The 25,578-nt window shown below is 44.4% G+C and overlaps 1 protein-coding gene and 2 non-coding genes across 14 annotated transcripts in view, besides 1 other annotated feature; all 3 read right to left on the bottom strand.

The window, feature by feature from the left end:
- The window catches only part of ATG16L1 (autophagy related 16 like 1), a 43,997-nt gene continuing 19,569 nt past the window's right edge, over positions 1,151 to 25,578 (bottom strand). For 5 of the 12 annotated variants that reach the window (NM_030803.7, XM_047444848.1, NM_001190267.2 and 2 more), the window contains 12 exons: positions 23,768 to 23,854; positions 23,043 to 23,099; positions 22,042 to 22,144; positions 19,147 to 19,252; positions 15,645 to 15,715; positions 14,067 to 14,138; positions 6,846 to 6,966; positions 6,467 to 6,572; positions 4,543 to 4,692; positions 4,386 to 4,433; positions 3,463 to 3,564; positions 1,151 to 2,563 (listed from right to left, as the gene is read on the bottom strand). In NM_030803.7, coding sequence (NP_110430.5) covers positions 2,470 to 2,563; positions 3,463 to 3,564; positions 4,386 to 4,433; positions 4,543 to 4,692; positions 6,467 to 6,572; positions 6,846 to 6,966; positions 14,067 to 14,138; positions 15,645 to 15,715; positions 19,147 to 19,252; positions 22,042 to 22,144; positions 23,043 to 23,099; positions 23,768 to 23,854 — 1,117 coding nt within the window. In that variant the 3' untranslated portion in view covers positions 1,151 to 2,469. Of the gene's footprint in view, positions 2,564 to 3,462; positions 3,565 to 4,385; positions 4,434 to 4,542; positions 4,693 to 6,466; positions 6,573 to 6,845; positions 6,967 to 14,066; positions 14,139 to 15,644; positions 15,716 to 19,146; positions 19,253 to 22,041; positions 22,145 to 22,778; positions 22,830 to 23,042; positions 23,100 to 23,767; positions 23,855 to 25,578 lie in introns of those variants that run through there. The other 7 variants (NM_001363742.2, XM_006712608.4, XM_005246084.3 and 4 more) reach the window with 3 other exon arrangements.
- Positions 7,635 to 8,136: an enhancer, noted in NCBI's record as "NANOG hESC enhancer chr2:234197330-234197831 (GRCh37/hg19 assembly coordinates)". NCBI's record gives its function as "activates a minimal SCP1, AML or CMV promoter by ChIP-STARR-seq in naive H9 embryonic stem cells {active_cell/tissue: H9 hESC(naive)}" and the evidence as "EXISTENCE:reporter gene assay evidence [ECO:0000049][PMID:30033119]".
- Positions 7,879 to 8,144, bottom strand: SCARNA6 (small Cajal body-specific RNA 6). Its single transcript, NR_003006.1, has one exon.
- Positions 20,817 to 21,094, bottom strand: SCARNA5 (small Cajal body-specific RNA 5). The gene has a single exon (NR_003008.2).

The following is a 25,578-nucleotide window of genomic DNA, read 5'->3' as shown; positions in this document are numbered from 1 at the left end:
AACCAGGCATGGTGGTGTGCTCCGGTTTAGGGAGTAGATCACTTGGGCCTGGGAGGTCGAGGCTGCAGTGAGCAGTGATCACACCACTGTACTCCAGCCTGGGCAGCAGAGTAAGACCCTGTCTCAAATACATACATACATACATACATATACATACATACATACATACATACACACACACACACACACACACACACACACACACACACACCCCTATGCATGCCTCCTGCTCTGACCAACAAAACTAGCAGCTGGAAAGGCCCTAGTCCATGCGCTAGGCAGGGAGTTAAACGGAAGTCACATTCCCCGGTGCTGTGAGACCCCCTTACCTTTAGCTCAGCATTGGCAGTTAAGGGACTGGAATGGAGCTCAGGCTGAGCACAGAGAACAGCCATGCTTCCCTCCAAATGCAAAAACAGGATGATCTGAGACTACTCGAACACTTATTTGGGGACTATTTGGAGAATCACCTTTTTGAAGGTGATTGCAAAGGGCTCGTCTAACTTTTTTTTTTTTTGAGACAGGGTCTTACTGTATCACCCAGGCTGGAGTGCAATCATAGCTCACTGTAGCCTCCAACTCCTGGCCTCCAGTGATCCTTCTGCCTCAGCCTCCCAAAGTGTTGGGATTACAGGTGTGAGCCAACACATCTCGCTTTCATCCAGCTTTGTGCAAGCATTGGCTGCCTCAGACTTCAGACTCTGATGGCAGCTTGACTCCAGGTGCTAGGCTAAGTGGACGACTGGCTGAGTTTCCTGATAAGGGTGGTCATCATTTGCTACAGCTCAGGCTGTGTGTCAGGAATCTGAGCCACCACAAGTGAATGCCTCTCTGCTGCGGCAGTTCACTGGAGAGAGGCTCCGTGCAGAGGGCTGAAGAGCAATCCGTGCTGGGCTCTTCTACTGCAGCTGGTAATGTTCTGAAGAAACATCTTTCCAATGTCCGTTAAGATTTGCGCGACATGAAACTGGAACACTGGTGTTTACAGAGAGAGATACTTTGTGGAATGGAGCTTACATGATGAATGAAAAAAGACCGTTAAAAAGTACTAGCCGTTGTTTACAAATAACTACCAGGTAAACAAAGAAATCACTTTCTTTCCCCTTTCTAAGGATAAGGGAGAATAAAATAATCACCAAGAGGCATGGAGTTTGAAAAGTATATAACAGATTTCTTTATTATTATTTACAATCAAGTTCTGTTGGCCAACATAATGAAATAAATAAAAGATGTGCCCTGGCCTGTGAATTTCAACTCTCCTTGACTTAAGTTCTCTGAAGGGCAAATTGGAAAGCGGTGATCAGGCAGGGAAGAGAGGGCAGGTGGAGGCCAGGACCATCGGTGGGAAGGCCACCTGACTCCTCTCTCACCAGCTCTAACACTCACATCCCCAAATGTCCAGAGAACAAGCATGGAAGAAAAAAAATAAAGTGCAAATTTAAAAGTGATAAAAAGGGTGTTTCGCACACCCAATGAACTAAAACTTTATACGTAGGTAAAATAGTAAAGATAAATGTTTTTCCTTGGCCTTCATCACAACCCCTGAAACGGAAAGATGGCGCTGCTGTGCTTCTGAGCCTAGGCTTCTTGCACTAAAGCACCAAGGGCATCGCACACAGGCTTGGCAGAGGGGCCATGGCCAGAATCACCACCTTCAGACAAGTATGTTGGAGGTCTCGAATCCCTTGGCACCCCCAAGCATGCAGTGTGCACCCACCTTCTGGGTGTCTGCAGATCGATACAGGAACACATCCTTACCTCTGCAGCGAACCCATTTCCCTGGAAAAGATTTTCACACATCCTCTCCCACCTCAAAAAAACAAAAAAACAAAAAACCATTTTTTAAAGCCACACGGAGATTTTTAAATATGTCGAATTTTGTGGGGGAAAGAGAGCCAGAAAGCTCTGAAGAACAGTGAAAGAGATGTGAGGACATTTCAGCAGTAATGAGACACATTCATGCAACCCACCAGGGAGGGGTCTGTAGTTCGGGAGTTTCCGTTAATCCAATGCTTAAAGTGAGTTCACCGGGCAAATGAACCCAAGGTGTTGGGACATGCGTTAGGCCAGAACCGACTTTGGAAGGACGAGAGAAAGCACAGAGAACACCACCTTGATGTGGGGGCTGATTTTGGCACTGCCGTTGGTGAGGAGGCCCAGCGGGGCCCTGTGCTCCCCCAAGTGAGGTATGGAAGGTCAGAGCTAGTAGTGTTTCCCAAGGCAAGAACCTGAGCCTCTGCTAAGTGACCGCAGCGTCAGGTTTTTTCAGTGTTATTCTTCCAGGCCAAGAGAGACCTCAGTCAAATCTTCAGAAATCCCATTCACGGCAAAGCTACAGTGCCACATAGCTTGAGCTTCTCTGGGAGGTCCATGCTATACCCAGCACATCACCTGCCAGGACAGGGCTGCAGGAGCCCATGTGCTTCTTCTGAGGAGGGCACTGGGGTCCTCCCAGCCCTGAGAGCCCCGTCAGTACTGTGCCCACAGCACAGCTTTGCATCCTTTGTCCACACTGACAACGTGCGAGCCAGAGGGCGACCACGCCACCGCATTGATGGATGAGCTTCAAAGGAGAGATCAGAAAAGCACCAAGTTTCAGAACATTTGGGATGAGATCTTGGTAAACCAAACACCAGAAGCTTGTGCATTCAGGGAGTCCTAATTTTTCCAACTTCCATTTTACTCTCTGGCACTGTGCCCGCGACAAGGCAGGAGCTCACTAACATGCAAAAGACCTCAGAAAAAATCCAGTGGTGTACTTAATTAAGTCATGCTGGGATGAAGGGAGTTTGGCCCCTCTGGCAGTCAGGCCTTATCACACTCTCCCTAAGAGAGGAGCTCTGAGTGAGCTGGAAAGACAGTACACATGCCTCTGAAGAGCCGGGCAGTGGTGGTCAGCACTGGTTAGGTCTGGGAGCAGTTGCTGCTGCCCAAGGACAGGGAGAGAGGTTCTGAAGGAAAATGGTATCTGGGTTCCAACTAGCAGGTGGGCTTGTGTGGGCAGAACAAAGCTAGGAAAAAAGGGGGTCTGGGGCCTGCCTATCAGGTGGAAGATAAAAGAAGGTGTGTGGAGATCAGTGTTTAGGACACGTCAATGCACTGAAATGCACTGACAACAGGGACTTCCAAGGGAGACAGGGAGGCGGAAAGGAAGGAGAGTAGGGAAGGGGAAGGAGACACAGAGGACGTGGACATAACCAAAGAGTCAGGGATGTGTTTCTATAACCCTTTCTCCAGCGGCTGCCACTCTAACCGCTCTACCTGGCGTACTCTGTAGACTGTGGCCTGCTGTGCTGTGTGAGTGGCCCCAGCTTCTCTCCACTGACCTAGCTCAGCCAGCCGAGCAGGTGGGCGGACAGTGCCCTCACAGCGCCGACTGAGGTCTAAACCGGATGACCCCTGAGATGAAGTCAAAGGCCTTGCTCACAACGCAACGGGGGGCTGAGACAGGGTTCATCTTACCTGTGCTGCTTTGAAAGAACCTTTTCCACTTTCCCTGTGAGCACACTCCAGATATACAGAGAGCCCTCAGCAGAGCCTGCCGCCACGTAACTGCCATCAGGGCTACAGAAGACAGTAAGAAAAGAAAGGTTGTCAATTCCCCACCCCCAATTCAGCATCTCTGTGGCCTTTTTCCCAAGAAGGAATGTTTGTTCTTCACTGATGACCACTCCTGTGTACCCAGACCTCAGAATGTGTGCTAGTCATGGCCCTTCCAGCCAAATCTGCTTTTCCCCAGTATTTCAGCCCCGTCCGGCTAATGAACAGTGGCATCACATTGCTTCTTGGGGCTCCAAGTCCTTAACCATCTACAGACTTCAACAAAACAACATATAGGGAGATCAAAGCCAACCTCCACATAGCTAAGGGTTTCAGCCCATGGACTGCCTTGTTACATGCCTCAAAGAGAGGAGGGAAGAAAAGAAACATCTTAGCAACTGAGCCTGGAAAGGTATTTGGAAGAAGCAGGATACATGGAAGAAGGGAACAAGGAGCAGAAAACTGCAGACCACCTGCACACCCTTCTCCAAAAAGCCTTTTCAGTCCCGCCCCAGGCCCACGGCCACTCCTGCCCTTTTCTAAAGGCTCTCCAACAGCTCTTGCGTGAATGAGTGATGAGAAGTGAACCTAATGGGCTCACCCACAACAAAGCAACCAGCCAACTGTTATTTTTTGGTACAACACGTTAGGTTCATGTAATCACAAAAGGAACACTGGAAAGGAAGAGACAATAATGGTGGCCTGCAATTATGAACTTACAGGCACACTCCTGGAAACATAGGTTGGGCACTGAACAAAATTTAGCTCTATATCCCCAGTGGGAAAATGCCCATGCAGGACTCTTTGTGATGAACCAAATTGGCGGGGGGTGGGTCACTACTAACCTGAAGACAACTCTGGTCCAGTCAGAGCCGCACTTGAACCCAGGTGCACTGAAACAAACAACAGGGCACTGTCACTGAGGGAGCTCAGGCCACGCAGCACGTTAAGAGAGCAGGGCTGGGCCTCTGGTCTTCATGCAACCAGCACATCTTCAGTTACCTGAATGTCTGCTTGATAGCATTTGTTCGGAGATCAATAACTTTTAGCAAGTCATCACGGGAGCAGCTCAGGAGCTCAGTCCTTTCTGGGTTTAAGTCCAGGGCAGTAATCTTTCCCAACAGCTCCATCTCTCGAACTATGCTCTCTGATCTAAGAGGGAGAACAGATCTGAGAAATGTAACGTAGGCCAGAACTACTTCACATCATGCCGTGGAGGAAAAAAAAGGCACTGCAATTCAACTAGCATGCAACGCTCTGCCAGCGCAGTCAATGTGTTCCCAGTCTTCTAATAACCTGTGACTGCTTTTCTTACTTTCCCATCAACAGACCCTAAGACAGTCATTCCCAGACTAGAACTCTGAAGTTGGTAAGAATTTCCTCATCCATTTTTGGAATGACAACAATCGCCCATCGGTTTCTGATCAGCATGAGCTAACTAGGGCTACTACCCAATTCGTATTATTTTCAGTGATGTGATTTCAACTTTTGGATAAAGTTGGCAAAGAAACCTGCATTAGTGGGCCTGGGCTGCCTTGTAAGTGTAACTCTAGCCTCTTGCAGGTTTTCTGCCCTATTCACTGTGGCTCTGTGGCCCTCCACCTCCAGATATGGGGCCAGGAAAGCCAGGGCAGAGCCACGGCCCTACGCACCTCCCTCTTCTTCTCTGTGCTGTGGCCCATGTCCAGGGTGGCTAACAGCCACCCTGGGCAGGGCCCTGTTGGTGACATTCATAGCCAAAGGGGGTGCTGACCTGTTCTGTGATGATTTTGTTGTAGGCTTTCAATGAAACCTTTTCCTACCTCCCACCTTAACTAAGCAAGAATTTATCTTATTGTTGCTAAATATGCAGCTTGAAGCAAGCTACTCCACTTCCTTGGGACTCAGGGTCTTCACCTGTCAAATTATGGGATGGACTAAGAGACTTCGAACATCCAACTTAACTCTCAAATTCCATCTTTCAAGTTCCAATTTCAGGTTTTAAAAGCAAACTAAAGATTATGAATAAAATGTGAAGTGGTGTCCAGGAACCATGAGCATTGTCAGGACTTTCTGGTGCCATGCTGTGTTTCAAAGCATCATCTATCACCACAGGCCCTGTACCCCCACCCTCTCTACAACCCTGCTGGGAGGCTGTCCTCATTTACTCTCCATCCTGTCTTCCCCTTCCTCCAACCTGTCAATAAGCCCTGTCCAAATTCTCCTTCAAATAGATTCTCTCCTCCACATGTTCCTCTACTGACTTGAACTTAGGTCCTTATCAACTCTATTGGTTTCCTATTCCCTAATATGCCCTCTCAAAATGCCACCAAAGTCGTCTACTAGACTCCTGCAAAGCAACCATTTCCTTGCTAAACACCCAACGACTTACAAGATCGAGTGATTTGACAATGGCTTATCAAGCCTGTGGCAACCTGATTTCAACCCCTCATAGCCCCCTCACTGGCTTCTGCCCTGTTTCCTGCTCACTTGCCATGTATCAGCCACCAGACACACACTCAAAAGTTTGAGTGGCTTTCCTGCCGTGTGAATCCTACTCACGTCTCCGGAGAAATCTGGAGAGGCATTCTTTAACACACTGGAACAAACGTAGCTGCCTCCACTTCAACACACTAGTCACTGACTTTTGCGTTCTGCCTTCCCTACTACAGTTTAAATTACCTAAAGGTAGAAAGAGTATCCTGTTTGCCTTTTCTTACCTGCCAGCTGGTGAAGGGCCTAGCACTCACTGCATGCTCAATAAATGATTGCTAAGCTCCACAGTCTACTTCATGGGAAAGAACAGCCAAGTGTTAATAAGCTAACACTATACGTGTACCGAAACTCATTTCTGCCATGTCCTGAGATCTTAAAAGCACAACCCATGTACAGAACCATTACTGTGGAGACTCTTATGTGCCTCCAGTCAGGAGCTTGGGTATCATACCGAATGTCCCAGAAACGAATTTTCTTGTCAAAATGTCCACTCATTACACATTGCTCTGTGCAGACAATATCATTGCAACTGGATCCTGCAAACACTGTCTTTATGCCTGAAAGAAATGCAAACATCATTAATCAAGCAGAGGCACCAACGTGGCTGTTTACATAATGCTGCCACCCTCTAACCACTGACTTGTCAGAGTTACTCACTTAAATGAAGCTTTAAACAAGAAAAACTATCACTATCCTCAGTGCCCCTCTAAACATGAAGCCAGATCTGAAATTCAAACTATATTACATAAATGCAGGCTCTGACGTGCAAACACACACCTCCACGCTAACATCTAAGCATATACACAGACAGAGAGACTGAATTTCCTCACAGACTTTGCTGCGTAGATCCCAGAGTTTGAGAGTCCGGTCGTGACTTCCTGAGACAATCCGCGCATTGTCCAGCAGGAACTTAGCAGACAGCACTTTCCCACTGTGTCCCGTGAGTGTGTGCTAGGAGAGAGAACACAGCCAGGGTGAGCCTCAGGGCGCCAGGCCCTGCCTATGCTGGCAAAGTATCCACAGCATCCTTACCTCCAGAGTCAGAGTGTCAGACCACCCTGAGATCCGGCCAGGAACACTCAAAGCGATAAGACAGCAAAGGAAAAAGAAACAGGTCAGGCACAGTGACTCACGCCTGCAATCCCAGCACACTGGGAGGCCAAGGTGTGAGGACTGCTTGAGCCCAGGAGTTCAAGAACAGCTTGGGCAACACAGTGAAACCCCCATCTCTACAAAAAAATTTTTTTAAAAATTTGCAGGGAGTGGTGGCATGCGCCTGGGGTCCCAGCTACTTGGGAAGCTGAGGCAAGAGGATTGCTTGAGCCTGGGAGGTTGAGGTTGCAGTGAACTATGATAGTGCCATTGTACTCCACCTGAGTGATAGCAAGATCCTGTCACACACACACACACACACACACACACACACATCCCAAACAGGACAAGAAGCAACAATTTCATTCACTGAGTCTTATCCAGGGGCCATGTATCTCATAGGAAGCCTATCTTTGAGTGTTGGCCAAAGGTGAGGTATCAAGACCAAAAGGATAAAACTCCCACTAAAAATAACATTAAAAACAAAAATTCAACATCACTAGCACCAAGCTTCACGTGCTCCCCATCCTCAATCTTGAATTTGAAATCAGCTCTACCACAGATACCTGCTGTACTGTTTTTGTAATTTTTCTATGTCTGAATTATATCAAATTAAAGAATTTTTAAAGCCTCGATGTTGCGCCATGCTGCTGAAAGTCAGTTCCATATTTAAAGTCAGACTAGACAAGGTCACCACAGGCATAATTTACAAAAGGAAACATCAGGACTCCTTATGTAAACAATTAAAACCCCTGGGGGATTTTCAATCAGAGGTCTCAGCTTGAACAAGGCAGATCATAGCCACAGATACCAGCACTCCCAACAATCAAATCCCTTTGTGACTAAGCTGTTGGATGCCAACCAGTGTCTTCCCTGAGCTCACGGAGGAACACAGAATGAGGGACATCACGGAGTGTCAGCTGCCCTTCTGCCCATCGCAGCACTTCTGAAGTGCGATGGAGGAGAGGCAGCTGGGGATAACTGGGATGCCGGGAGGGGATCTGAGGACTCAGACCTTTTACCATTCATCATTGACCTCTATGCAGTGCATGATCAACATTTTTCTATGTGTAAAACACCAGAGGTTCAGAAGGTATTCACTGATGTTTTCTTTCTAATTAGAAAATGCAAGGGTTGGCAAAGTGGCTCACACTGGTAATCCTAGCACTTTGGGAAGCCAAGGTGGGAGGATTGCTTGAGCCCAGGAGTTTGAGACCAGCCTGGGGAAATTAGTGAGACCCTCATCTCTACAAAAAAATTCGAATTAGCTGGGTGTGGTGGGTACTTATAGTCTCAGCTGTTACAGGGGAGGCTGAGGTGAGAGGACTGCTTGAGCCCAGAAGGTCGAGGCTGCAAGGAGCCCAGATCATGCCACTGCACTCCAAACCTTAGTTCCCAAAGATGAGACCTCATGGTTCAGGGTTAGATTTTTTTTGTGTTAACATTTTTGAAACCAATCCTTCCTCTATTTTCAGTGGGGTTAACTCCACTTTAGCACAGAAGCGAAAACTTCGGACCACATATACTCCCCTCTCAGCTTCAATGAGGGAAGCTTGTATGAGTTCTCAGACTGCCTTATCCCACATTCAAACCTCTGAAACTGGGACAGCATCTTACAACTGCTGCCAGTCGGGTGCCGGCTGTGCTGCGGTTGTGTGAAAACCTCCCACTGATCCTTCCGTAAGATCAAGAAAGCTCCAGTAACAAAGCCTACACTAGATACAGTCCATGAATAATGATTCCATTCAATATAAAACATCCACTCTGCACAAATCATGGGCAGAGACAAAACTTGGGTAGGCTACTTCTTAAATTCTATCTTTTTTTCTTTTTTGAGACAGAGTTTCACTCTTGTCACCCAAGCTGGAGTGCAGTGGCGTGATCTCAGCTCACTGCAACCTCCGCCTCCCAGGTTTAAGTGATTCTCCTGCCTCAGCCTCCTGAGTAGCTGGGACTATAGGCGTGTGCCACCACATCCAGCTAATTTTTGTATTTTTAGTAGAGACGGGGTTTTACCATGTTGGCCAGGCTAGTCTTGAATTCCTGACTTCAAGTGATCCGCCTGCCTCGGCTTCCCAAAGTGCTAAGATTACAGGCATGAACCACTGTGCCCGGCCTTACATTAAATTCTGAATAACTATTTTATCAAAATTTCAAATTTGTATTTATATTCACTATCTGTTTCTTTCTTAATGTTAAGAGTAAAATCACATTTCACAAACACAGGGTAGAAAAAGACATTGTTCATAAGTGGGATATGGCAAGTACAGATGATCCTCAACTTATGATGGGGCCAGTCTTGACAAACACATTGTAAGATGAAAATACCCTACATTGGGGACCATCTGTATATTCATTTTTACATACTTCACAGGAACATGTTAATCTTTACACAATTATACTCTTCCTAAAAATTTATCCATTACTCTTTTAAGCTTATAGCGTAAGCATTTTTTCATGTGATAGCTGAAAATTCATGGGCTTTGGGGTTCCACTGATTTGAACACCCTGGGTCTCTGTAACATCTGTGAACAGGAAACATCCTTGTGCTATCTTAGTACGGACTCAGCAAGATGAATGGGATCAAATCTCTTCCTTGTTGCACCTCCCTTTCTTTAAGAGTCTGTCACAGATGCTGTTGCAGTGAACATCTATGAGCACACAGCTTTCTTCTCTTGACTTATTTCCAGGAATGAAACTGCTGAACTAATGGAATAAGGGAAAGGGACGTTTTGTTTCTTGGCTCCTCGTACGTATTGTCACCTTGCTCTTTACAATGTTTGGGCTTGGCCAGGCGCGGTGGCTCATGCCTGTAATCCCAGCACTTTGGGAGGCCGAGGTGAGCGGATCACAAGGTCAGGAGATCGAGACCATCCTGGCTAACACGGTGAAATCTCGTCTCTACTAAAAATACAAAAACTTAGCTGGACGTGGTGGCGGGCGCCTGTAGTCCCAGCTACTCGGGAGGCTGAGGCAGGAGAATGGTGTGAACCCAGGAGGCAGAGCTTGCAGCGAGCAGAGATCACGCCACTGCACTCCAGCCTGGGTGACTGAGCGAGACACTGTCTCAAAAAAAAAAAAAAAAAAAAAAGTTTGGGCTTCTGCTCACCTTATTCTCAGTGAGAATAAGCTGGAGCTGCCTGAGGCTGACTCACTGTCTCGGTGCTTCCAATGGTATAGAGCTGGGCCTCCTACAGGCATTCATTCACCTCTATCATTTATAGAGTCCTTTGAAATGGATCAGATTTAAAATTCTTCTATCTGTTAGGTGTTTCTGAAATTCATTTTTATGATTAACAACACTTTTAGGTTTCATCTTCTACTTTTAAACAGGGATTAACAATAGCGGGGCAGCGGGTTTAGATGTCATCAAGGCCGGGGCCTCAAAGTGGGGAGGCTTCAAGATTTCTCTGCTCCACTGGGCTCTGCACAGACTATCTCTGTGCCTCATGGCAGATAACGAGTGCCGACCCCTATTTCTAAACACAAAATTGCTCATTCAGGTAACAACTTAATCATGCAGCTAACATAACACCAACCAAAGACAGCCGATTCCAGAAGAATGCAGAACTCAAAGAGGAACATTCCAAACAGAAACCATCACCTAGCAGCCATAGCCAATCCTCACTGTGGCCACTTCACCACACCACGAGAGAAGTGGGCAGGGGGGTTCTCAAGCAAGTTTCTCAAGTCAAATCTTACCAAGCAGCCAGGCAGTTTTGTACTGACTTTAGATTTTTAACGGAGGCATCACAGAGGACTCCTTTCAATGCCAGGTTGTTTCTAGGGTGCATTTACAAAAAGGATGTTAAAGCAAGCACTCAACCAGCTGCTTCTTGTTTGCCAGTCTCTCCCAACACCATTCCCTTGTCGTAAGAGCAAAGGAGACACCGAACAGGGCATGGATGTCTGTGAGTTTCACAACATAGATGAATGGATTCCTGTCCTCCAGTACCATCTGTTAACTGGGGTCTAAAAAAAAGCCAGCACTCCCTAGAATAAGGAGCCTATTTTACTTTCTGGAACCTGGTAAGGTTTTCGGGAGACTTCTCTGGGTGCAGGGAATCTGCTGAAACAGGCCTCCCAATCTTCACACATTTACCAAGTAACAGGACAAGGTTATGAGCAGGCCAGAAACTCAAAAGCCAACTAGTCCAGCACAGGAGGCTCCTGCCCCAGCACGGCATCATCAGAAGCAGCAGCCCAGCAGCCTGCGCCCTGCTCCAGCATACTGAGAACATTTCCCCAGTGAGACCTGTGTGCCAGCTCAATGTTATGACCTTCATCTGTCAGTCTAGCTCCCTGCTCTAGGTCCCCTTCTTGTTATTTCTGACCCAAAGGCTGATGCCCACCTGTATAGGACTCCTCTATTACCAATTAAAAAATATCCTGCACTACTGGTTGACTCAACTTCTTCCTCTTCTCCTCTAAGGGACTATCATAAAAAAAAGGCTGTAGGCCCCTCTTCAATAATTGGTCAGTTTTACTGTATCTCAGTCTAGAATAAAAGATCAATGGATAGATAAATCACAGTATACCACAGGATGGATTAGAACGTAGCCATGAGTACCGGCTAGGCCATCTTTTCCATGTGTACAGTACAGAACTACAGGGCTTCAAATGACCCTATTCAAGCATCTGAATTGGTGTGCCCCATGGCAGGCTCTCTAGCAGTGCACTTCCCTAGTCCGTCATTAAGACAAGAACATAGGCTCCTCAGCTCTCACAACATGTCCTTGTCATCGTCAGGGCTCGTTATTTTGCATGTTCGGACCTGGATCTTCTTTAAATTGTGAATTAAGAATGACCACCCCTGAGGTATTGGCTAGCATCTAATACTAATAATCTATACAACCCTCTCAAGAAAATCACCAGAAACCCACCTAATATACCATTCTACTACAGCTCCTCCACCTCCCTTGTAGATTTAAGAAATTCATCTGGGCCAGGCGTGGTGGTGCATGCCTGTAATCCCAGCACTTTGGGAGGCCGAGGCAGACGGATCACTTGAGGTCAGGAGTTCGAGACCAGCCTAGCCAACATGGGGAAACCCCGTCTCTACTAAAAAAATACAAAAATTGGGCTAGGCGCAGTGGCTCAGGCCTGTAATCCCAACACTTTGGGAGGCTGAGGCAGGTGGATCACGAGGTCAGGAGATCGAGAACGTCCTGGTTAACATGGTGAAACCCCATCTCCATTAAAAATACAAAAAAATTAGCCAGGTGTGGTGGCACGTGCCTGTAGTCCCACCTACTCAGGAGGCTGAGGCAGGAGACTGGCGTGAACCTGGCAGGTGGAGCTTGCAGTGAACCGAGATCATGCCACTGCACTCTAGCCTGGGCGACAGAGCAAGACTCCATCTCAAAATAATAAATAAATTTAAAAAACGAAACAAAAATTAGCCGGGCGTGGTGGAGGATGCATGTAATCCCAGCTGCTTGGGAGGCTGAGGAAGGAGATCACTTGAACCTGGGAGGCAGAGGTTGCAGTGAGCCGAGATCACGTCATTGCACTCCAGCCTGGGCAACAGGCTCCATCTCAGAAAAAAAAAAAAGAAAAAAGAAATTTAGGCTGGGCACGGTGGCTCACGCCTGTAATCCCAGCACTTTGGGAGGCCGAGGTGGGTGGATCATGAGGTCAGTTCAAGACCAGCCTGTCCAAGATGGTGAAACCCCATCTCTACTAAAAAAAAATACAAAAATTAGCTGGGCGTGGTGGCGGGCGCCTGTAATCCCAGCTACTCGGGAGGCTGAGGCAGGAGAATTGCTTGAACCCAGGAGGCAGAGTTTGCAGTGAGCCAAGATTGCGCCATTGCACTCTAGCCTGGATGACAGAGCAAGACTCTGCCTTCAAAAAACAAAAAAAGAAATGTATCTTGCTGGGCACAGTGGCTCACGCCTGTAATCCCAGCACTTTGGGAGGCCAAGGTGGGCAGATCCCTTGAGGTCAGAAGTTCAAGACCAGCCTGGCCAACATGGTGAAACCCCATCTCTACTAAAAATATAAAAATTAGCCATGCCTGTAATCCTAGCTACTCAGGAGGCTGAGGCAGGAGAATTGCTTGAACCCAGAAGGCGGAGGTTGCAGTGAGCTGAGATCACACTACTGTACCCCACACAAGAGCAAAACTCCATCTCAAAAGAAAAAAAAAAAGAAAAAAAATTCATCTTAACATTACTTCCTCTGTTTTTGGTGTGGGTTGACACACACAAACGGCTTGTGTTAACTTTTTAAAAAAAAATTTTTTTTTTTTTTAGTAAAATGCCTACTAATGCCAAATTCATCCTCCATTATATCTTTCAATAGCTTGTATTTAATAAGCTTATGTGATGATTCCTTCAGGCTTATGGGGAAAAAAAATGTCTGCAAATTAAGTTACATGCTTCGCCCTCCGCCCCCTGCCCCAATCAAAAATGATACAACCAAGTTTTGGTCTCTCTGTCAGATGCCAAGAGAATTCTTGGCAAGTTTTGGTTCAAATGCAGCTTTCCTCAACATCCAATCATTTCTCCCTGCTCTGACACCTGTCCCCTCTTTCTCAGCTTGGAGTTTTTGTTTCAGAATTGTCTTATCCCTATGATACATCCATTTGTACTTCTATATCCCACTTTAGGTAATTAGGTTTTAGAGCCCACAGGAATCACAATTCACATGCTGTTGCTAAGTTCTGTGCCATTAAGCCAAAATTGCTATCTACCAAAGTATTTAGTCCTTATGAAGAGTATTCCAAGGTTTTCATGCAAATGTGAGGGTCCCATTGCAAATATTTTGAAACTGAGTTTTGGACAAAGAGTATAAAGTGGAAACACAGATTTCCCCAAGGAGGAAAGGAAGGGCAGGGTGAATCAAGCATGATTTTTGGGAAAACAAAGTCCCCTAATTAAGCACCTGCCAGTTTGTGCCTTGATAACACCACATGAAGTTTGGAGATTGCACTAACTTTCTTAACTGGGTCTTACCCGTAATCGATAATCATCCACAGTCCAGATTCGGCTTGCAAAATCATTTGAAGCTGCTAAGAGGTAAGATCCCTGTGGGAATAAAGAAGAGGAAAACCAATTTTTAGCCAAATCAGAGGAATTCAGTTCACACGATATAAATTCCCCAATAATCAAGTACAAGAAGGTTTAGATGCTTCACCCTATACAACCAGCCTGAATACCAGCTACTGTCGTGAGTGTGCTTCAACTCGCCAGTCTCCTTCGAGTTCAGACCTTTTTTTTTCTGAGCTTGCTCAATTTCATCAGAATATTGCAGACACCTCAAGCTCCAAATGGAACCCAGCCTTCCCTACTCACTTTTCCCTTGGCAACCTTCACTAGCAGCAAATATTAACAAGTCAGAAACCTCAGAGGCACCCTTGACTCTCTCCTTGCCTAATCTCCCAACTCTCACTCTGAGAACTGTTCATCTTCAATGTGTCGAGCCTGGTCCTCTCCTTTCTCCCCTATTTCCTCAGCCCCCACCTGGGCCTTCTGCATCTCTGCAGAAGCACTGAACGCACGGGCCACTGCAGACCTGCTTCCTCCAAGCCAGTCTTCAGCACTGTCACAGTTCCACCACAACTTAACACCATACCCATTTCTAAAAATCTCTCAAGTCTCCACATGGCTTTACAAAAGTCTAAACCTTTCAATACAACATACCCTCATTTTCCAACCTTATTTCCTTATCATTCCCCAATTAAATTCAAGGAGTGGTTATTTAGAACCTAATAGGCACTGTGCCAGGTGCTGGGGGTACAAAGATGATTAACGCCCAGACACTTGTCCTCAGGTAGTCAGCTCTCAGCTTAGTAAAAGAAACAGATATAGACCACCACCGTGCCATAGAATAGGTTTGCACAAGATGCTGGGAACATAGACACTCAGCCCACCCAGGAATGTGAACAAGGCTCCCCAGAGATGACAATCAAGATAAGGACTCTTGGTAGATGAGGACGCTACCTTGGCCTCACCCAGTCATCACCTCCACCCAAGCTCCTGCACTCGCCCAGCCCAACCTCCTCTGCTCCCTCTGCCTGTGGTGTCCGTCCCTGGCTTTTTGCCTCTGACCTTTGATTATCTTTAGATCTGCTTTAAATGCCTTACTATGGCCCCTAACCCTTGCCCCAGAATGAGCTACTCTCTCATCAGTATTTCCTTTCTACTCCACACACATCTCAGCCATAACTCAGCACAACGCTTTGCAGTTTAATGCTTTCCCATCACTCTCATTTAGATGGCGAATCTCGGAGGGTAGAGACCACGCTGGCCCCTGGAGTACAGCATCTATACACTCAAAATACAACTATTAAGTGAAATTATACAAAGTACTGAGTAACATCACAAGCCTAATGCATGAAGCAGAACCCAAGGGTTTATCAGAGTTGATACAGCAATTAACCCTATAATCTATTTCCATCTTTCTTTAACATGGATTTGGCTTAAGATACAGAGAATGGCAGAGAAATCGGGTAAGTTATGTTATAATTTCAAGAACCTAATGTCTTAAATTATTTCTAAAAACCTTTAAAATCATAGCTATTCAATACTTACAGCACTATCAAATTCAATGCTTGTAATTCCTGCATTACTGCCAGATAGGGAACCCTTGAACTCACATTTTTCTGTATAAAAAGAAAAAATTAGGATGATGGGAAGTTAAATAAAGCCAATAAATACATTAAAACAGGGCACTGAAATACAATGGAAGCCAATTACACTGCTAAAACAATAGCTATCCTGTACCTTTACAGAATCAAACAAAATAGCAGGACAAAGAGAACATGAGAGATAAAAGATACTGCTAGTTTCTAAGAGGAATGCAAGTCTAAGTGGACACTGACCCCAGCATCTTGGATGTGTGTTCTGTTCTTTAAGAAATGTAGTTATTCATTCTCTTTAGAAAAACAAAGTGTAGGAATTTATAAACCATGTCAATCAAACTAGAGACTGGGTTTATTCAGTTCCACTATTTCTCAGTACATTTTAAAAACTTACATACATAAATATTTGGGTTGATCAGCATTTGTGCCAACTTAACTACCACTTTTGTAGAAACTGGCAGTCAATTTCTGGACCCATGGTGTGGTAATTTTCATTAAGGTGTGAAAAGAAATTGTGTTAGTTACATTTAAATGACTACTCATATAGAATACCAGTCAAGCTAGTTTGGAGTTTCTGGAATTTGCCCTCATACTTTATCTCCATGAATCTAAGATCCTGGCAAGCGAACTAAGTGCCAGCACCTCCCATCCCTCTACACAGCTCTCCCTCACCAACAGAGCCACTGTCCACTTTATCTACTCTGCTTCCAGACAGCCTGGCCACCCACACGGAAATTTCAGTAACGGGCAATCCCAAACTGAGAAGAGCAAAAATCTCAATGATTTGATTAAATTCCTTTTAAAAGGGTAACTTAAGGATGATCCACACAGATAAGCTAGAAATTAAGGAACCATTGTAATCATATTTGTAAAAGAGGAACACAGAACAGAAAACATTTCAACACATTTTTATCTTATTCAGTACTTCTAAGTAGTAAAAATAATGATTGGAGCCAGATATCAAGGTGACACGAATACTGGTTTGAAGCTGTCATGTACATTCAGGCCACAGACTGTTAACCTGGTTGATGAACCTCTCCTCTGAACTCACTTGCAAAATACAGCATATTTAATGGCTTTTTCTGGATCCTAGCTTTCTTAAGATTTTCAAAAGGGTTGAAAAAGGCTAATATTCGCTAAGATTTTCCTTTAGATGAAATCTTCACAGATAAAAATATTACTGCAAATTCTAAGAAATATCTCTTTGGCTTATGCTTAAAATACTGGTCTATTTGCTTGGCACTTAACACAGTGCCGAAATGTAGGAAGTGACCAAAAAATTAATGCTATTCAATATGAGAGATTGATCTCAAAAGAACAAAGACCGTATTAAAACTCTTAATTATCTACAAGATACGGGGTTGGGGGCGGGGGGTGCTATGTCAACAGCATTTGTATAATTCCCAGTGGAACTTCTGCTTTGGAGAAAATGAGCAAAAACAGATGTTCCCACTGGGTAGAAAGTGTGATTCTTCTGATAATCTAAAAGGATGAAAAAACAGGACCCCCAAACTATTTCAGAAAAGGTCTCTTGAACTTGGCCTCTTCCAAGATTCAGTAAATAAATATTTGCCAAGACGAAAAATCTTGTAGACTGAAACAGCTGTTTGTAGAAGAAAGGCCCTACACAAAACTGTAAGAAATGCCGCCACACATTCTGCTATTTCTGTAGATTAGGTAGAAACTTGATTTTATTAACACAAATTATGTGCTGGCACAGATTATGTCAGTATTAACTTCAACTGATGTTCGTTTCTTTTCAGCCGCAAAAAGGTTACTAGAATTAAAGGTTGGTACCTCTAATTTTCTTATAGGTGTTTTTACTGACCAAGGAGTAAAACGAAAATATTTCTAGTGTTATTTTTATTTAAATCTCAATGGCATACTCAAAACAGACTGTTTACTTTGATTTTGCAAATCAAATTCCCTAAAATTTCCTTTTTTAAAAGACACAGGGTCTTGCTCTGCTGCCCATGCTGGAGTGCAGTGATGCGATCAGAGCTCACAGCAGCCTCTCACTCCTGGGCTCAATTGATCTTCCCACTTCAGCTTCCCAGGAAGCTGGGACTGCAAGTGCATGCCAACACACCCAGCTACTTTTTAATATTTTTTTTGTAGAGGCAGGGTCTCATTTTGTTGCCCAGGCTGGTCTTGAACTCCTGGCCTCAAGCAATCCTCTTGCCCCAGCCTCACAAAGTGAAAATTTCTTATGATTTGTTTTTATTATTGTTTTCTAATTGCTTCAGCCATTATCATTCATAAGCTAAATGTTTCTGGGCAAAATAGTAAATTTTAGTATGCTTCAATGGGCTCTAACTGCTGAGTCCCTTTCCTGAAAATCAAAGGCCGGGGCAGATAGGAGGGGTGCTTTACTAATAACCTATTCTAATAAGTTGCTCCTGCTCTGATAAACCTTAAAAGCAGTACCCCTAAGATTTTTCAGTTGCTAGAGAAGGCTACAGTAAGAGCATGGAATTTCAGGTCTTCTGGCCTGCATTAGTCCTAGTTCCACCACTCCCTCACCACAGAAATCATTCACTAGCCATGTAAATCACGTAGTATCTGAGTTTTATTCCCTTTATCTGTGAAATGGCGCAATCTCTACCATTCTAACCACACAGGGCTGTTGTGATGATCAGGGGAATTAACAGACAAAATCACTTTGGAGCTATTTATTGCTCGACAGGGATAATGTGTGTGTCGCAGCTACAGACACTTGGCAAAGTGGTTCCCGTTAAAAACCTTAAGCCTTATTCTTCGGCCTTACTTTAGTAAAAATACACGCATATTTAACTGAATCTCGAAAACGTCAAAACTGGGAAATGCCCGGCTTCAGACTTCTAAGAGATGGTTTCATTAACTTCCATTTTCTGTTTTAATGCCATCCATCTCTGAGCATCCTAAAAGTCCAAAGAGACTGAGTCTTGATCTAAGGGCCCTCGTCTGATACACTGTTAAATACATCTTTTCTAGGTAGTACGCCTCTGTTTCCTCAAGCTTAGACATGACTCCAGTCATTTTTTCCCTAGGCTATTGCAATTGTCATTAAATGCATCAACCACAGCTTAATGTATAGTTTAATTGTAGAATCCATGATCATAAGACTTATTTTCCTCATAAAAACGGTACTATTTTGCAAGATGCTCTGATTGGTATATACTTGAGAAAAACTACAGAAACCTTACTAACATAAACATATCCATAACTTAACAGTATTTTCTGATCACTACTTAGAAAATGAGAGCAAACATCCACTCGGAAGTAAAGAATAACTGAGATGTATGATGCTTTGGTCAAACGATCCCTTACATAAAATGTATGTTTTGAGAAAATGAACAATTCACAGTGCCTGAAAGCAAGGTCAACCAGATGCCAGCAACACAGCTTCTTTCTGCAGTGCAAGGGTGCATCATCTCAAGTTTTCAGTCTGAGAACATGCAGCAGGCTCTCACCTCCAAATACTTCCCAAAGCTTAACCCTGCGGTCCATGCCTCCAGTGGCCAGTAACCGGGAACCTGGACTGAACTGCACAGCGTTGACTTCCCCATCATGTGCATCCTGCAAGACAAGCACCCTGTGTCAAACCCAGTCATTCTCATCCCAAGAGCTCAAGATGCGCGAACACTCCAAATGCCTAATTCATGGGGAAACACTCATCCTTAAAGACAGGTGGAGCCAATCATAAACTAAACTGGACTCCTAGCCCAGGTCAACTAAGATTCTATTATCATTTTATTCTTCTAGTTACAGTTGCATTAGAGTGCAGTGCAACCTTCTCAAAAAGTACTCAAAATCTGTGTAGACTGCTTAAAGTTGGTCCTTGCATTAATTTCATCTGTTCTAACAATAATGGCCTATATTTATCTTAATAGTTTAAAAGTAAACCTAGAATTAATTTTGGTCCAGACTGAGTTAATACTACTTATTGATCTACTAGTAATTACTAATTTACTAATAATATTAAATACTACATATTTAAATAATGTATAGCACATGGCCTCTCATAATACAGCTTTCGCAATGAGTCCTAATATAAGTAGATGGCAAAAACATCAATCTGTGTTATAATGGAATTCTATGTAGTTCTTTCTGGAAACATTATGGGACTAGTGTGTACTGGCAGTGTGACCTCTGCCAAGTTTCTGAAATCTCAGTTTGCTCAGCTCCAGAAAGGTTTTTGCAACCCAGAATGGTGCCTGTTAATGCATAAGCCTTAGATAAAAATGACAGTCGTTATTTTAAGAGAATTTATATTCTTCACAGGGAAATTTCTAATACTGGCATAAACACTGGCAAAAGATGGTACTTATGTTCAGGATAAGAAAGAAAACCAAGTAAAAAAGCATCCTGGCTGGGTGCAGTGGCACACATCTGTGATCCCAGCACTTCGGGAGACCGAGGTGGGCAGATCGCATGAGCTCAGGAGTTCAAGACCAGCCTGGGCAACGTGGCGAAACCTCGTCTCTTAAAAACTAAAAAACAAAAATTAGCCAGGTGTGGTAGCGCATACCTATTGTTCCAGCTACTCAAGAGGCTGAGGTGGGAGGATTGCTTCAGCCCAAGGTTGAGACTGCACTGAGCTGAGATTGTGCTACTGTACTCCCGCCTGGATAACAGAGTGAGACTCAGCATCCCATTCTAGAATGGGAAAAGGGAATAATCGAAAAATTCACTATACTCTCTTAAGAAGATTATGGGCAGTAAAATATTTTTGGATGAAATATAATGCCTAGAATTGGCTTCAAATTGCTCCAGCATAAGTGTGGGGGGGAAGAGATACTGCGTATGTTTGGAAATTTCTATAATAGAGAAGGAAAAGAAAGACTAGAAAACATAGACTATCAATATGAGATTGTTAAGTAGATAATCACTTGTCTAAAAGGTCACTTGGGGAAGAGAATATGTGATATTTACATTTGCTTGGGACTAAAAAAAAATAAAATGCTTGAAGTATCACGGAGGGAGTGACTATTAACAGGCTGGGCAACAGGCATCACTTTGGTAACTTCATTTTCCACTTTGCCTCCCTCTTGTGACCCACTGCTGAAAAGTATGACAGGTGACCAAACCTTTTACCCCCATGAAATTTCCTTTTCTTTTTTATGGTTTCTTTCTCCTTAGGAGGTCTCAGATTGAAAACTTGAGATCATGCACCATCACACCCATGACTGCCACTCGTCAGTCTCCTGTGTAACTGGTTTTGTTGGATACTCGTCAGCTGTGAGCCGATCACTCTCAGAAACACACACTGACAGAATCCCAAATTATCAGCTGCTCCATGATCCCATACACATGACTTAAATGTGACGGGAGGGAAAAAATGGGCTGCTGGGAGTTGAGGGCAACAAAGGGACCGTGACATTCAGTGCAATCAGACCTTTTACCAATCATCATCGACCTCTGCAGGTGCCCGGTGCATCATGGAATCACAGGAGTGGAGTGGGACTGGGAAGGGGCGTTGATGCGCCCCATCCCAACTCCTCCTCCAAAGCGGAACTCTCTTTACAACAGTCAAGGCAGTTCATCACTCAGCCAGTCCACTGTGTAACTAGCTAAGTCCCTCCTTATACCTGGAACCCAAAGCTCCCACCATATAAATTCCATCCCATTTTTACGGCAAAATCTTCCCTGCTTTGAAAGCTGGCTCCTTTCACTTACCCGCTGCCAGTTATTAGGCCAGTACTGGAGTCAGTCCAACTCTCCAGGTTCTGTTCTTTGTGCTCTGTTTCCTACCCTCCTCATGCTTTGACAGTTCTGAGCCAGGTACTGAATGTTTCCCCAGGCTGGTTCAATTTCTGCTCAACTACCCCAGCTGGGATGCAAACTACCTGCTAGTACTAGGACCCAGCTCTGAACTCCGGGTGACAGCCCTGGTATCCATCACCGTGGCTTCTGCCCAGGACTGCTTCCAGTCATAGACCCCTAATGGCTGGGAGTCATACAGATAGGGATATAATTCATGAAACCAACAGCTGTCCTACTGAACTTCCATAATACACCACTGACTGGCAACTCACTCTAAACTGGAGCCAATTGGTGACAATAATTATATAAATCCCTCTCCCATTTTTCACAATCCCTAATTACTTTTCCTTTGCCCCATCCCTCATGCTAGCAATCCTTTCTCAGTCAGCTCTGCCATTACAGAGGATGGTTGTAACAAATTTTGTCCTCTGAAACTAAGCAAAATATATCAATTTCTCACAGCTGACAGAGCCAAAAGGTGGAAAGGCTTGATATAAGTAAAACAATGGAATGCTTAGCTGCAGGCCTAGAAAGGACCCTTTAATTGCCAGGCTCTGTCACCATATCAAGCGTGGTAGGGTTCGGGGCTGAAGCATACTTACGAAGACACACAAGGCAGTAGCTGGTACCCTCACTTCTTTACCAGAACCAGGATGAGTATCCACATTGTCCTGGGGGACTGGGAAGGAAGAGACAGAGCGTCTCCTAAGAAATAACATAAAGACAAATATTAGACAGGATTGCAGAGGTTTACTGCTCATCAAATTGTTAGAAAGGACTCCAAGACGACCTTGCTTAAGCAGACTGCCTCTGTTGATAGCCTGTCCTTCTAGATTCTTCAAACTACAGAACAATTCACAAAAAAATCAAAAGCACCCTCACTCAAATGAGAAAGAGAGCCAGCACATGCCTTACTCTCCTGCACACTAACCTGTGGACTCCAAAACCCAACAATGAAAAGCAATCCTGAACAACTGCTTACCCAGTCAATAAGCTGCTGGGAAACTTTCTCAACTTAATGTAACAGCTAGCTCAGAGGTAGCTCTTTGGTCTTTTTTGCAAAACTATTTTATTTCTATGCCTAGTTAGAATCAACCTCATCACTTGTGATCAATGTGGAGTCTAACGCATGCCAAAAGAAAGCAACAAGAGCATGAGTACTGTACAAAGTGTTCAACCTGGCAGCCCTGCTCTGAGGGCTCCCGGCATTCCTAGGAACATGCAAAGCATCCTCGTTAGCACGTGAACATCTGATGACTGAGGGCAGTGAAGCGGTGATTGGCATAATTGTTAAGGACCCACACTCACATGCTGGACTAAGAGAGGATAATAGTTTCACCTGGCAGCATCAGAAGAAGAATGATGTCCCAAAAGGGGAGACTCGGACAGACTAAAGGGAAAGGCCAGAGATCAGCACGCAGCGAGATTAAGAGGAAAGGAAGTTGAGGAAAAAAGGAAGAAGCTAAATGAAAAGCTGATATTAAGGCATATGTATACTCTGCATCACTGACACCTGGTGTACATTTAAAGAATAAAAATAAGTCATGTACATATACTTAGGTATACTTATACACATTTAAAAAGGAAAGGTCTTCTAACCTACCCAAAGATATTAGTGATAGAATCCAGAAGGCCTCCAGCAGGCTGCGAGAGTCGCTTACTAAAGAGGAGGGGAGGATAGGTTTAAACCTTAGAAACATTTTGCCCAAATAATCAATCAATAAACAGCCCACAAAAACAGGTAACTGGGAATATGTTTCCCACTTAGTTCCCAAACCCCAGCCAAGAGAAACCCAACACAGTACCAAACTGCCAGAAAACAGTGGGAAGGGAAAGGGAAAACCCAGCCTAGAAGTTTCAAAAGAAACAAGGTTCCCTAGTATTAAATTAATTTCCCTGGAAATAAAGCATTAGACAACTAACCTCACAATTCCTGGCTAACTAACTTCACAATTTCTGACTGTTAGTAACCAATCCCCACTCTTGAAGGGCGGTGCGGGCGGGGGGAAGCCCTAGTAAGAATGAAACAGGATGATCAAACCTAAACAATCATTCTGCTTAATAAGGTTTCACTGTCCATATTTGAGTAAGCCACTACATTTTTTTGTATTTAGAAGCATTTGAAGCCACCCGTGTTCTGCTTCCCTCCCATTAAGCAGAGGTGAACTGAGAAAGACTGGACACCTCTGTGGTGTGTTCGACGCTGGGTGTCCCAGAAAAGGGGTAAGGGGTTGGGTGCATCTGACTGCATTCTTTGTCATGTCCACAGATGTGCCTTCATATTGCTCCTCAAGCTGTCTTTTCCCTGGCCCAAACCTGCCTACTTACGTGGCTGCTCTGCTGATGGCTCGCACAGGAGAGGTCTCTTCTGTGTGATCAGAAGTTTCATCCACAATGACCTCAATGTCATCATCCCTGGAAAGAAAGGCAAGACATTCTTTGATTCTCCTGAACAGTTCTGTGATTAATCGGTTCCGCAAATGCTAATGTCATTTTCTAGTTAGATCCTAAACCACTTGGCTATGACAGCAATGCGTTAAAGATTCTTTGGAGAAAAAGGAAGAGCTGCCATGTTCTGAACAACACTACAATAAACATTTAACCTGTTCAAATCAAATCCAGAATTTCAACTGAGAATAAATTTAAAAGTGAGCTTTTGATCCTTTTAGGTATAAACACAGTTCCCACTTGAAGCAATAAAATATGATCTGTTGAGTCTATAACCACATAACCAGTGCCAAAGTAGGGCATTCCATCAACAGTCAGCATCACTGTTGAAGGGCTGCAGTACTCACCAAGCACAGTTCCCATGACACAAGGGCTGAGGGGTACCTAGGGTAGTTAGGGGCAGCAGCTATGGAATATAAAACAACAGTGTAGGGAGAATTCAGGGAAAGAAGGGATGGCTAAATGGGCCATGAAATCAACAGCCAACTTAACCCAGTTTCAAATATTACTTTAAAAAATAGAAAAGCAAAATTTAAACACTATGCATTTTTGACTCTGCGCATTTTATGCTTAAATACATAGTGTCTCTGACATTAGGAGAGCCCATCACACTTCAAATGACATAATCAAGTCATAGGACATGCTCCCTTTGTTGCTGTTTATCCCAGCGGATGCAAAGTACCTCTGGAATCCCCCTTCCTCATTTTTCTGGGCCACGTCTTTCCTACTTGGAGGAGGGCAAGTAATTATTTTGGTCTTAATGACCTCCTACTGAGATGCAACCTTCATGGAGAAGATAATTAAATGTAATAACCCAAGATTTCATCACCTACTGTTTGGATTCATAAGAACTTGACAGAAAGATTTTTCCTTTTCAATAAATAATTATCTGGATTAGGTAAATATATACTTAAGAACCTGTTACTAAGCAAGTTAAACCTGGTCAAAGTAAATTTATTTTCCTTAGCTATTTATTCCAGGACTATGTGTAATTATTGCACCACATTCTTGGCCAGGATGTAGAAGGGAATAAAAGGCAGGTCGAAAGAAAAAGGACAAGGCTGTGCTTTATTTTCTTGATTGGCTTTCCCAGGGATCTAGGTTTGCGAGAGTCACCTGTGCCCATACAAGGAAGAGAGGAGAACTGCAAAGACAGGAACTGCAAATATGAGCTGAGCCTTTGACAATGTCCTGTTGAAAATAGAATTTTATGGTTTTAAGTACTTGCAACTGTGCTTAGGCCCGGGACCACAAGAAAACACTAGCATTTGCTAAGTTATCAAAACCTTTCAAAGATGTATGTCCTCTGACCCAGAAACTCCTTAGGGAAGCATAGAGATTAAGGAGAGGCCTTAGGCCGGGCTCGGTGGCTCATGCCTGTAATTTCAGCACTTTGGGAGGCCAAGGCGGGCAGATCACCTGAAGTCAGGAGTTCGAGACCAGCCTGACCAACATGGAGAAACCCCATCTCTACTAAAAATACAAAATTAGCTGGGCGTGGTGGCGCATGCCTGTAATCCCAGCTACTTGGGAGGCTGAGGCAGGAGAGTCGCTTAAACCTGGGAGGCGGAGGTTGCAGTGAGCTGAGATTGCACCATTGCACTCCAGCCTGGGCCACAAGAGTGAAACTCCATCTCAAAATAAAATAAAATACAAAATAAAATAACAGGCTTTTACAGCCCTGTGTTTGC

Source organism: Homo sapiens, chromosome 2 (assembly GCF_000001405.40).
Source record: "Homo sapiens chromosome 2, GRCh38.p14 Primary Assembly".
Taxonomy (NCBI): Eukaryota; Metazoa; Chordata; class Mammalia; order Primates; family Hominidae; genus Homo; species Homo sapiens.
The sequence above is the reverse complement of the archived record's forward strand: the minus strand, read 5'-3'. Positions and strand labels throughout refer to the sequence as shown.